The sequence below is a fragment of the Homo sapiens genome, chromosome 19 (assembly GCF_000001405.40).
Source record: "Homo sapiens chromosome 19, GRCh38.p14 Primary Assembly".
Classification (NCBI taxonomy): Eukaryota; Metazoa; Chordata; class Mammalia; order Primates; family Hominidae; genus Homo; species Homo sapiens.
The window spans coordinates 55,838,870-55,852,583 of record NC_000019.10 but is presented as its reverse complement, the minus strand read 5'-3'; the positions used below and the strand labels follow the sequence as shown (position 1 = coordinate 55,852,583).

The window sequence follows — 13,714 nt, the reverse complement described above, 5'->3', positions numbered from 1 at the left end:
AATCACTTGAACCTGGGAGGTGGAGGTTGCGGTGAGCCAAGATCACACTACTGCACTGTCTGGGCAACAAAGTGCGACTCCGTCTACCAAAAAAAAAAAAAAAAAAACCTAATATTTTCCCATAGCACATTCAGGTCCTGTTGTAGACAGGCAGAGACCACTCACCAAAATTAGGACATAGTCCTCATTATAAGAAGGCTTCCCCCTTCCCAGACTCCCTCACCTGTTCTCTCCCTCATGACCTTCATGCAGAGATCCTTTCTATCCATCTTTTGAAAGATTCTTAAGGTTATGTTCCAAGCTTGTTGTTCTTCATAGTGCTTGATCAAGAGGTTTGCAAGTTCTTCCCGGGATGCTTTTTTGACCTCAGTCCAGGGAATCTGCTTGAGTTCAAGCTGCAAAGTCATTTGCTTGAGATGTTCTTTAAATTTCCTGAACTCCTCCTTTTTGAGCTCCTCCAGATACCACATAAGACCAAAATCAGAGAAGAAAGAGGCTGCCATCTTTTCTGGAGCAGAGATACCAATCCTCAAAGAGACAGTGACCAGGAACAATAAATAAATAAAACCTGTAGAAAATTCAGGACAGTGCCAAGTTATTACAAATAAATGGATCAAGATTACCATTATATAGTATCTTGCTAGTACTGGGGGGATGGCAATGAAGGCGGAAAGTTATTTAATTACATTCATCTCACCTTCTCATTCAAATGGTCATGAAAGTCTCAATAATGGATGGGGGAATCAGAGATACAATAATCCAGAAGATACAAGAATCCTATAGTCACCTGACATAGCCTCAATATCCAGGCAAATATAGACTTTACATTTTTGGAAATTACACCGCAGCTTCGGAAATTACACCGCAGCCTCGGACATTACACCGCAGCCTCGGACATTACACCGCAGCCTCGGACATTACACCGCAGCCTCGGACATTACACCGCAGCCTCGGACATTACACCGCAGCCACGGACATTACACCGCAGCCTCGGACATTACACCGCAGCCTCGGACATTACACCGCAGCCACGGACATTACACCGCAGCCTCGGTAAATTACACCGCAGCCACGGACATTACACCGCAGCCACGGACATTACACCGCAGCCTCGGACATTACACCGCAGCCACGGACATTACACCGCAGCCTCGTAAATTACACCGCAGCCTCGTAAATTACACCGCAGCCTCGGACATTACACCGCAGCCTCGGACATTACACCGCAGCCACGGACATTACACCGCAGCCACGGACATTACACCGCAGCCTCGGACATTACACCGCAGCCACGGACATTACACCGCAGCCTCGTAAATTACACCGCAGCCTCGTAAATTACACCGCAGCCTCGGACATTACACCGCAGCCACGGACATTACACCGCAGCCTCGGACATTACACCGCAGCCACGGACATTACACCGCAGCCTCGTAAATTACACCGCAGCCTCGGACATTACACCGCAGCCACGGACATTACACCGCAGCCACGGACATTACACCGCAGCCTCGGACATTACACCGCAGCCTCGGACATTACACCGCAGCCTCGGACATTACACCGCAGCCACGGACATTACACCGCAGCCTCGTAAATTACACCGCAGCCACGGACATTACACCGCAGCCTCGGACATTACACCGCAGCCACGGACATTACACCGCAGCCTCGGACATTACACCGCAGCCACGGACATTACACCGCAGCCTCGTAAATTACACCGCAGCCTCGTAAATTACACCGCAGCCTCGGACATTACACCGCAGCCTCGGAAATTACACCGCAGCCTCGGGAATTACACCGCAGCCTCGGAAATTACACCGCAGCCTCGGGAAGTACACCGCAGCCTCGGAAAGTACACCGCAGCCTCGGGAAGTACACCGCAGCCACGGACATTACACCGCAGCCACGGACATTACACCGCAGCCTCGGACATTACACCGCAGCCTCGGACATTACACCGCAGCCTCGTAAATTACACCGCAGCCACGGAAATTACACCGCAGCCACGGACATTACACCGCAGCCACGGACATTACACCGCAGCCACGGACATTACACCGCAGCCACGGACATTACACCGCAGCCTCGGAAATTACACCGCAGCCTCGGAAATTACACCGCAGCCACGGAAATTACACCGCAGCCACGGACATTACACCGCAGCCACGGACATTACACCGCAGCCACGGACATTACACCGCAGCCTCGGAAATTACACCGCAGCCTCGGAAATTACACCGCAGCCTCGGAAATTACACCGCAGCCACGGACATTACACCGCAGCCACGGACATTACACCGCAGCCTCGGAAATTACACCGCAGCCTCGGAAATTACACCGCAGCCACGGAAATTACACCGCAGCCACGGAAATTACACCGCAGCCACGGAAATTACACCGCAGCCACGGAAATTACACCGCAGCCTCGGAAATTACACCGCAGCCACGGAAATTACACCGCAGCTACGGTAATTACACCGCAGCCACGGAAATTACACCGCAGTCTCGGAAATTCCACCGCAGCTACGGAAATCACACCGCAGTCTCGGAAATCACACCGCAGTCTCGGAAATCACACCGCAGTCTCGGAAATTACACCGCAGCTACGGAAATTACACCGCAGTCTCGGAAATTACACCGCGGCTACGGAAATTACACCGCGGCTACGGAAATTACACCGCCGGCCACGGAAATTACACCGCGGCCACGGAAATTACACCGCAGTCTCGGAAATTACACCGCAGCTTCGGAAATTACACCGCAGCTTTGGAAATTACACCGCAGCTTTGGAAATTACACCGCAGCTACAGAAATTACATTTTTACTTTTAAATATAGAAATTACACTGTAAATATAGAAATTACATTTTTCTCAGTAAACAATAGAGAAGGCATGCCCCACAAATGTAGCCAACTCATTTTGACAAAGGCACAATGGAGGCAGATCGTCTCTTCCATAAATGGTGCTGGAACAACTGGAAGTCCCTCCCTGGCTCTCTTTCTCCCCATCTCTTCCTCTGACTCTATTATGTGGGGACACAGAAGGCAGCTGTGTACAATCCAGAAAGTCTTCATCAGGAAGGGACTCTGCTGGACCTTGATTTGAACTTCCAGCCTCCAGAACTAGAGGAAGTACATTTCTGTTGGTAAGCCATCCAGTCTGCAGCATTTTGCAGTGAACTATAGAAATGATCCCTGGAAGTATAGTCTTAGTCTACGGTACTGTTACAGTCACACTCATGCAAGGGCCTGGAAGCATAACAGATACCCTAGTGGCAATCGATACACCCAGTGTCCAGATCAGCTCTTGGTTTCTAAGACCACTTCCTAACCAAAGAAACCCAGGGCAGGCTGAAAGAGCCTCCAATAGCTAAAACTGTAACAACTTTAGCAAGAAGAAGAATTCCAAGTAGCTTAGATGGATGGATTCTTCCCCTTTAAGGAGATGCGGCATAACTCCCCACCTCTTAAGTGTGGTGTATTAGTCTGTTCTCATGCTGCTGATAGAGACATTACCCAAGACTGGGTAATTTATAAAGAAAAAAGTGGTTTAATGGACCCACAGTTCCATGTGGCTGGGGAGGCCTCACAATCATGGGGGAAGGCAAAAGGCACATCTTACATGGCGGCAGACAAGAGAGGACCAAACGACAGGGGTTTCCCCTTATAGAACCATCAGGTCTCACGAGACTTATTCACTACTAGGAGAACAGTATGGGGGAAACCATCCCCATGATTCAAGTATCTCCCACCGGGTCCCTCCCACCACATGTGGGAATTATGGGAGCCACAATTCAAGATGAGATTTGGGTGGGGACACAGCCAAACCGTATCATGTGGGTTGTACATAGAGACTTCTTTTTAAAGAATATAGTACAGCCGGGCATGGTGGCTCACGCCTGTAATCCTAGCACTTTGGGAAGCCGAGGTGGGTGGATCTCAAGGTCAGGAGATCCAGACCATCTTGGCCAACATGGTGAAACCCCATCTCTACTAAAATACAAAAAATTAGCCGGATGTGGTGGTGGGTACCTGTAATCCCAGCTACTCTGGAGGCTGAGGCAGGGGAATCACTTGAACCCAGGAGGTGGAGGTTGCAGTGAGCCGAGATCGTGCCACTGCACTCTAGCCTGGCGACAGAGCGAGACTCCATCTCAATGTATAGTATAGTATGCTATAGTATCGTATAGTATAGTATACAATACTATAGTATAAAAAGGGGTAGGGATTAACTTCAGAGTGGAGAAACCAGCCAGACACCTAAGCTAGGAGATCAAGGCCAACATGGGTAGCAAGTGGTAGCATATGATATGATGGGAAGGGCACCTTTCCTTCGTGGTCTTCCTCCTCAAAGCCCCAGTCTCGCAATGAGATAAACGTCACACAAACCCAACATGAATGATGTCCCACAAATACCTGACCAGTGCTTCTCAAAACGTTCAAGATCACTGAAAACAAGGAAATCCTGAGAGTGGTCCTAGTTTAGAGAACTCAATGGAGACACAGCAATGAAACCCAGTGGGGGATCCTAGATGAGGTCCAGGCACATAAAAAGGATATTAGGGGCCAGGTGCAGTGGCTCACGCCTGTCATCCCAGCACTTTGGGAGGCTAAGGCAGGCAGATCACGAGGTCAGGAGTTTGAGACCAGCCTGACCAAGATGGTGAAACCCCATCTCTACTAAAAATATTAAAAAATTAGCCGGGCGTGGTGGCAGGTGTCTGTAGTCTCAGCTACTCAGGAGGCTGAGGCAGGAGAGTCACTTGAACCCGGGAGGCAGAGGTTGCAGTGAGCTGAGATCGCACCATTGCACTCCAGCCTGGGCAACAGAGCGAGACTCCATCTCAAAAAAAAAAAAAAAAGGATATTAGGTAAAAAGGGGGGAATCTGAAGAAAGAATAATCTTAGTTAATAATCTATTAATACTGGTTTATTAGTTATGACAAATGTACCATGGTAACGAAAGTCGTTACTAGAGAAATGTGGCACAGGATTTATGGGAACTCTCTGCACTATTTTTGCAAACTTTTCTGTGTCTAAAACAAGTCTAAAATTTTAAAAGATACTAAAAACATAGGGCAAATAGTTATTCATATTAGATATATAAAAATCAACACATTTTATGAATATTTATGGAATCCTACACACAAGAGAACATTCTTTTCAAGCATACGTGGAACATTCATGATAATCAATTAGCTTGTAATTATGCTCATGATAATCAATTATGCTCTGAGCTTTAAAGGAAATCATAATTCAAAAACAAAAAGCCAACAGTAGCAAAGTCATCTTCTTTGTCTTAAGGGCAATGAAATTAGAGATCAATAGCAAAGTCAATAAAAGGGTTAAGTTATACAGTGGAAAATAAAAATAAAGCTGTTTTATTCATGGGTGGCCATTAGGCAGAATGTTGCTGCCCCCCCCTCAAATAAAATAGGTAATTTGGAGAAAAATTTAAAAAAAATTTAATAGCATCTAAGATCCAAAAATTAGGGGAAAGTAGCCAGGCGCCTATAGCCCCAGCTACTCAGGAGGCTGAGGCATGAGAATCTCTTGAACCTGGGAGGTGGGGGTTACAGTGAGCCAAGATTGTGCCACTGCACTCCAGCCTGGGTGACAGAACAAGACTGTCTCAAAATAAATAAATAAAACCCACAAAAATTAGGGAAAATTATTAAGCAGTATTCGGAATGAGAATATGATGATGGAAAGGTGACCTTCATGGCTTCTCCCCTGCGTGCTTTTGCCAATAGTCTTAAAAAGCCTACTTTTAGTAAAATCTTAATTATAGGAACATGTATCTGAGTCCTGAGGCCACCACTGAGCACCTAAGGCAATACTTCTCCAAGGAACATCAGCACCAACTGGTAACTTGCTATGCAAATCCCCAGGTCCTTCCCTAGACACACTAAATGCTGAGGGTAGGGCACAGCCATCTGTTAATTTTGGGCAAATAGTTAGTGATGATATTAGATATATAATATCAGTTATATATCTGTTATATAACATCAGTTATATATAATGTCAGTTAATTTTGACGCATGCCCAGATTTGAAAACCACTGACTTAAAGAATGACTTTGGGCAAGAACATTGCTGGTGCTTTGCTCTGAGACCATCTTGGAGAAGCAGGCAACTAGAGTTGGACTTTTCTTGATGTGGAGACAGTGTCAAGATCAGAGTGTACCAAAACAGAGATATAGACTAATGGAACAGAACAGAGCCCTCGGAAATAATGCCGCATATCTACAACTATCTGATCTTTGACAGACCTGACAAAAACAAGCAATGGGGAAAGGATTCCCTATTTAATAAATGGTGCTGGGAAAACTGGCTAGCCGTAAGTAGAAAGCTGAAACTGGATCCCTTCCTTATACCTTATACAAAAATTAATTCAAGATGGATTAGAGACTTACATGTTAGACCTAAAACCAGAAAAACCCTAGAAGAAAACCTAGGCATTACCATTCAGGACATAGGCATGGCCAAGGACTTCATGTCTAAAACACCAAGCAATGGCAACAAAAGACAAAATTGACAAATGGGATCTAATTAAACTAAAGAGCTTCTGCACAGCAAAAGAAACCACCATCAGAGTGATCAGGCAACCTACAGAATGGGAGAAAATTTTCGCAACCTACTCATCTGACAAAGGGCTAATATCCAGAATCTACAATGAACTCAAACAAATTTACAAGAAAAAAACAACCCCATCAAAAAGTGGGCAAAGGATATAAACAGACACTTCTCAAAAGAAGACATTTATGCAGCCAAAAAACACATGAAAAAATGCTCATCATCACTGGCCATCAGAGAAATGCAAATCAAAACCACAATGAGATACCATCTCACACCAGTTAGAATGGTGATCATTAAAAAGTCAGGAAACAACAGGTGCTGGAGAGGATGTGGAGAAATAGGAACACTTTTACACTGTTGGTGGGACTGTAAACTAGTTCAACCATTGTGGAAGTCGGTGTGGTGATTCCTCAGGGATCTAGAACTAGAAATACCATTTGACCCAGCCATCCCATTATTAGGTATATACCCAAAGGATTATAAATCATGCTGCTATAAAGACACATGCACACGTATGTTTATTGCAGCACTATTCACAATAGCAAAGACTTGGAACCAACCCAAATGTCCAACAATGATAGACTGGATTAAGAAAATGTGGCACATATACACCATGGAATACTATGCGGCCATAAAAAATGATGAGTTCATGTCCTTTGTGGGGACATGGATGAAGCTGGAAACCATCATTCTCAGCAAACTATTGCAAGGACAAAAAACCAAACACTGCATGTTCTCACTCATAGGTGGGAATTGAACAATGAGAACACATGGACACAGGAAGGGGAACATCACACACTGGGGACTGTTATGGGGTGGGGGGAGGGGGGAGGGATAGCATTAGGAGATGTACCTAATGCTAAATGACGAGTTAATGGGTGCAGCACACCAACATGGCACATGTATACATATGTAACAAACCTGCACGTTGTGCACATGTACCCTAAAACTTAAAGTATAATAATTAAAAAAAAGTGTAGCCTCTTGCCACAGGCTGAAATATTAATACCTCCGGCTCTGGGAAGAGATCCTCTGAAAGTGAGGGGAAAGACTGCATTCAGATTGGCTACAGATGGAACTTTAAATATTCCCCCAAACACACACACACATGCATACACACACGCACACACACTCCTCTACCACCACTACCACCACAAAAATCACCAGGGACTCTTTTCTGCATCCAATGTATGTCCCCCTGCAAAAGTTACATGCTGAAGTATGAAGTTTTTGAAAATAGCATACTCGTAGATACAATGAGTTACACTGGAGGTCACAAAGTGCAACTGAAGTCTGGGCTTGTTTGGAAATAGCATCCTTGCAGATGCAATTAGCTGTACTGGAACATGTAAGATGAGGTCATACTAAAGCAGGGTGGGCCCCCGATCCAATATAATTGGTGACCTTATTGAAAGAGGAAAATCTGGCCGGGCACAGTAGCTCACACCTGTAATCCCAGCACTTTGGGAGGCCAAGGTGGGCGGATCACCTGAGGTCAGGAGATCAAGACCAGCCTGGCCAACATGGTAAAATCCCATCTCTACCAAAAATACAAAACTTAGCCAAGTGGTGGTATGTGCCTGTCTTCCCAGCTACTCAGGAGGCTGAGGCAGGAGAATTGCTTGAACCCGGGAGGTTACAGTGAGCTGAGATCATGCCACTGCACTCCAGCCTGGGCAATAAAGTGAGACTCCATCTCGAAAAATAAAAAGAAAAAAGAAAGGGGAAAATCTGGACACATATGAATAGAGGGAAGAGGATACCATGCCACAGGGAAAATGCCACTTACTAACCAAAGCACACCTAAAGCAAGTAGAAGTTAATAGAGAGGAATAAACTGATTCTCCCTCACAGTCTTCAGAAGAAATTACGCCTGCCAGCACCTTGATTTTGGACTTATTAGCCTTCAGAACTGTGAGACAGTAAGTTTCTGTTGCTTAAGCTGTCTGTTTTGTGGTATGTTGTTACAGCAGCCCCAGGAAGCTAATACAATGTGTTAGTATCAGATTTGACAGAGATAATTAGTGGTCTAGAAGACACGTAAAGAGAAGTCATCCAAGAAGAGAGAGATAAAAAGATGAAAAGCACAGAAGAGAGGACAAGAGACTAAGGATGAAAAGGGCTAACACTTGTTACTGGCTCCCCAAAAGGAGAAAAGAGACTGTGGACCAGATGTAGTATGTTTTATTAGGTTGGTGCAAAAGTAATTGTGGTTTTTGCCATGAAAAAAATGCAAAAACCGCAATTACTTTTGTACCAACCTAATATAAGATTGCTACTAGGATGTTTCTTTTTATAATTTTTTTAATTGAGACAGTTTCACTCTTGTTGCCCAGGCTGGAGTGCAGTGGCACAATCTTAGCTCACTGCAAACTCCACCTCCCAGGTTCAAGTGATTCTCCTGCCTCAGCCTCCTGAGCAGCTGGGATCACAGGTGCCCATCACCACGCCTGGCTAATTTTTTGTATTTTTAGTAGAGACAGGGTTTCACCATGTTGGCCAGGCTGGTCTCGAACTCCTGACCTCAGGAGATCCACCCGCCTCTGCCTCCCAAACTGCTAGGATTACAGGTGTGTGAGCCACTGTGCCTGGCCTGGATGTTTCTATTAACCAATGAAAAAAAAATCAATCTACTAATTAAGAAGCCCAATAAAGTCCAAGAGTATAAATAACAAACCCATGTCTAGACACATTATAGGGAAACATAATGACATTAGAACATAAAGAAGTTACACAAAAGGGAAAATCTTGAAAGCATTCCAGAGTGGGGGTAAGGCAAGGGGAGGACAATAATTTATTTGAACGGTTGTGCCATTATGTTGACAGCTGACCTGATCAGGTGCTACAGAAAGAAGAAACTAAAGAAGCAACCATGCAAGGTGCTCAAAACAAATAGCTGCTGACTCAAGTCTAACCAGAATAAAATAATCTTTAAGAAATAAGGCCAGGCACGGTGGCTGACGCCTGTAATCCCAGCACTTTGGGAGGCCGAGGTGGGCGGATCACGAGGTCAGGAGATCAAGACCATCCTGGCTAACACGGTGAAACCCCATCTCTACTAAATACACAAAAAATTAGCCGGGCGTGGTGGCGGGCACCTGTAGTCTCAGCTACTGGGGAGGCTGAGGCAGGAGAACGGCGTGAACCCGGGAGGCAGAGCTTGCAGTGAGCTGAGATCGCACCTCTCCACTCCAGCCTGGGTGACAGAGCAACACTCCATCTCAAAAATAAAAATAAAATAAAAAGAAATAAAAGTAGACATTTGCAGATAAATGACAAATTTTCCAACAGAAGACTTACACTATAGGAAATTTTGAAAATTGACCATTGGAGAGAAGGAAAATTATTGCAGGTGAAAATTAAGAGATGCCACAGTCAATTAGAAGACAAGTTGCTTTATAGAGTCAGTCTTGTGAGACAGAAAATAGAATTAAAATTTATCACAGCTGGCACGTAAATCTAAAAAAAAAAGAAAAAGGACATCAAGTGCTCTAATGTTCTTCTCTGGGAAGATGACAGAAGTAAAAATTTGATAAGAAATTCTGATAAGCCCACTGATAGAATTCTGATATAACCATAAAAAAGTTTGTCTGCCAAAGTAAATAGAGAAGAGGAAAAATGACAAACTAACCTAAAAAATAAAGAAGGACAGAAATAGGAACCTAGAACAGATAAGGTAAATAAAAAAGTGATGGTCAACTCGAACTCTTATTAGTAATTACACAGAATAATTGCCTCAATGGTACAGAGGCAAAGATGGTGAGACTAAATACAAAAACCAAATACTTGCTCTTTAAAGAGGTAACTAAGAACGGAAAAACGAAAGTTGAAAGACTAAACATGCAAATTTGAACCTAAAAAATCTGGGGTAACTCACCCCGTTAGAATGGCTAAAGAAAATAACAAATGTTGGCAAGGATGCAGAGAAAAGGCAACTCTTACACACCATTGGTAGGAATGTAAGTTAGCAGAACCACTATGGAAAACAGTATGGAGGTTTCTAAAACAATTAAGAATAGAACCTACCATATAACCCAGTAATTCTACTGCTGGGTATATACCTCTTTAAAAAAGGAAATTCGTATGTCAAAGAGATATCCTTACTTCCATGTCTATTGCAGCACCTTTTTTTTCTTGAGACAGAGTCTCGCACTATCACCCAGGCTGGAGTGCAGTGGTACGATCTCGGCTCACTGCAACCTCTGCCTCCCAGGTTCACACCATTCTCCTGCCTCAGCTTCCCAAGTATCTGGTACTACAGGTGCCTGCCACCATGCCCGGCTAACTTTTTTTTGTATTTTTAATAGAGATGGGGTTTCACCATGTTAGCCAGGATGGTCTCAATCTCCTGACCTCGTGATCTGCCTGCCTCGGCCTCCCAAAGTGCTGGGATTACAGGCATGAGCCACCGCACCCGGCCTGCAGCACTATTACTAATAACCAAGATATAGAAACAAACTAAGTGCCTATCAATAAATGAATGCATAAAGAAAATGTGGTATATATACTCAATGGAATATTATTTAGCCATAAAAAATAATGAAATCTTGCCATTTGTGGCAACCTGGATGAACGTGGAGGACACGAGGTAAAATAAGGCAGGCACAGAAAGAAAACTACCATATGATCTCATTTATATGGGGAATCTAAAAAGATGAACTTATAGAAGTAGAGAGTAGAACAGTGGTTACTAGAGGCTGGGGAAGGGATGGGAGAGTAACGGGAGACCAGGAGCGATTGGTCAACAGGCACGCTTACAGTTAGAAAGCGCAAGTTCTAGTGTTCTCTTACAAATTAGGGTAACTAAAGCAAATAACAGTGTGGCGGATATTTCAAAATAGCTAGAAGATTTTGAGTATCACTACAAAGAAATGTGTCTAAACAAACAGATATGATAATTACCCTGATTGGATCATTATACAATGGATATATGTGTCCAAACATCACACTGTATCCCATAAATATGTACAATTATATGTCAATTTAAGAAATTTTTAAATGGGAAATCTGAACAAAATAGCATGTCATGCATACGTAAGGTATGATAACCCATCTTACTCACCAAACTCTTCATCCATTCCATTTATTGCACGACTTGAATTAGAAGGAAAAGATATTGAATTATTCCAGGCTTTTAAAAAAATCTGTTGTCATAATATTGATACCAGAAAAGCAGACCCCAAGCCAAAACATTGGTGAGAAATCTAGATGCTGCATAACCACAGGGCTCAAATTACCAGGAAGAGAGAACAATTATAATCATACATGCAACAATAACACAGCCTTAAAATATACGAATGATCAGCCGGGTGCTGTGGCTCACGCCTATAATCCCAGCACTTTGGGAGGCCGAGGTGGGCGGATCACGAGGTCAGGAGATCTAGACCAGCCTGGCTAACATGGTAAAACCCCGTCTCTACTAAAAATACCAAAAAATAAAAAATAATAAATTAGCTGGGCGTGGTGGCAGGCACCTGTAATCCCAGCTACTCGGGAGGCTGAGGCAGGAGAATTGCTTGAACCCGGGAGGCAAAGCTTGCAGTGAGCTGAGATGGCACCACTGCATTCCAGCCTGGGCAACAGAGCAAGACTCTGTCTCAAAAAGAAAAAAGAAAATATGTATACACACACACACACACACACACACACACACACATACACATACACATATGTCTATACACACACACCCCCGACAATGGTCAGCACCATAAGGAGAATTAGGTAAGTCCCTAATCATAGCAGGATATTTTATCAATTTGTTCCAGCAATTAAACAAACAAGTTAAAAAGAAAATAAAGGGCTTAAAAACAATGGAAAAATTTTACCTTGTGGACACAGACCTTTTCATTCAATAAATGGAAAAAACACTATAAGATAGACGAATCAGCTACCAATGTCAGCTATATACTGATCCTCAGGGCAAGCTTCAACATATTTCAAATAATATAAGTTACACAGAATATTCTGATCATAATTTAAGTCAGAATTTGACAATGAAATGAAGGACATTCCAAAATTAAGAAACATACTTCTAAGTAATCTATGAATAAAGAGAAAATATCGGATATAAGATTTTGAACTGAATATTTAATGTTGCATATGAAGTGAGTGAAATACAGCTAAATCAGGAGCTGGAAAAATGTGCTACTTCAAAGGCATAAGGAAGGTTGAAAATTCATAAACTAATTATACATTTAGATAAAAAGCAAAACACACCAAAAGAAAGTAGAAAAAATAATCAATGAAATAAAAATTAAAATACAAGACTCTGTCAAAAGTAGATTCTTTGAAAATACAAACTGGATAACCCCCAACAAGTCTGATGAATAAGAAGACATGAGCAATTAATACCAGAAACAGAAGACACCACTACATACCCTACAGATATCAAAAATTGAGACTATTACCATTTTTATGCCAATAAAACTGATAATTTTGTTCAAATATATAAATTCTTAGAAAATGACAACTTTCATCTATTTTGTGTGTGTGAAGTTTTGAAAGCTTTTTTTTTTTTTTTTAACTCTTCCCCCACAGAAGACTTCAGGCTCAAACATCTTCATCAGCAAATTATGTCAAAATTTAAATAAAAATTATTTTTCCAGAATCTAAGAGAGAGCATGTGTGTGGGTATGTGTGTGTGAGAGCATAAGCATGTGTGTATATGTGTGTGAAAGAGCACACACACACACTCAAACTGAGGCATAGGTTAGATAATGAAAACAGGTTTACATCATCCTCAGCAAATTAACACTGGAACAGAAAACCAAACACTGCATGTTCTCACACAGAAGTGTGAGTTGAACAATAAGAACACAAACGGACACAGGGAGGGGAACATTCACACACTGAGGCCCGTGGGTGAGGGGTGGGAAAGGGGAGGGAGAGCATTAGGACAAATACCTAATGCATGTGGGGCTTAAAACCTAGATGACCAGTTGACAGGTGCAGCAAACCACCATGCCACGTGTACACCTATGTAACAAACCTGCACATTCAGCACATGTATCCCAAAACTTAAATTTAAAAAAAGAAAAAAAAAAAACAGGCTTAGTGTAAGAATTTCCATGTTCGGTCTACTTGTGAAAACAAATGCAAAAATTAAAAAGTCCATTAAGTGTAAGATCTGTA

The 13,714-nt window shown here is 43.0% G+C and overlaps 1 protein-coding gene across 3 annotated transcripts in view; it reads right to left on the bottom strand.

The window, feature by feature from the left end:
* NLRP4 (NLR family pyrin domain containing 4) overlaps nucleotides 1-13,714 on the bottom strand; it is a 45,316-nt gene that overhangs the window by 29,272 nt on the left and 2,330 nt on the right. For all 3 annotated transcript variants that reach the window (NM_134444.5, XM_017026345.1, XM_017026344.1), the window contains one exon: nucleotides 224-568. In NM_134444.5, coding sequence (NP_604393.2) covers nucleotides 224-503 — 280 coding nt within the window. In that variant the 5' untranslated portion in view covers nucleotides 504-568. Of the gene's footprint in view, nucleotides 1-223; nucleotides 569-13,714 lie in introns of those variants that run through there.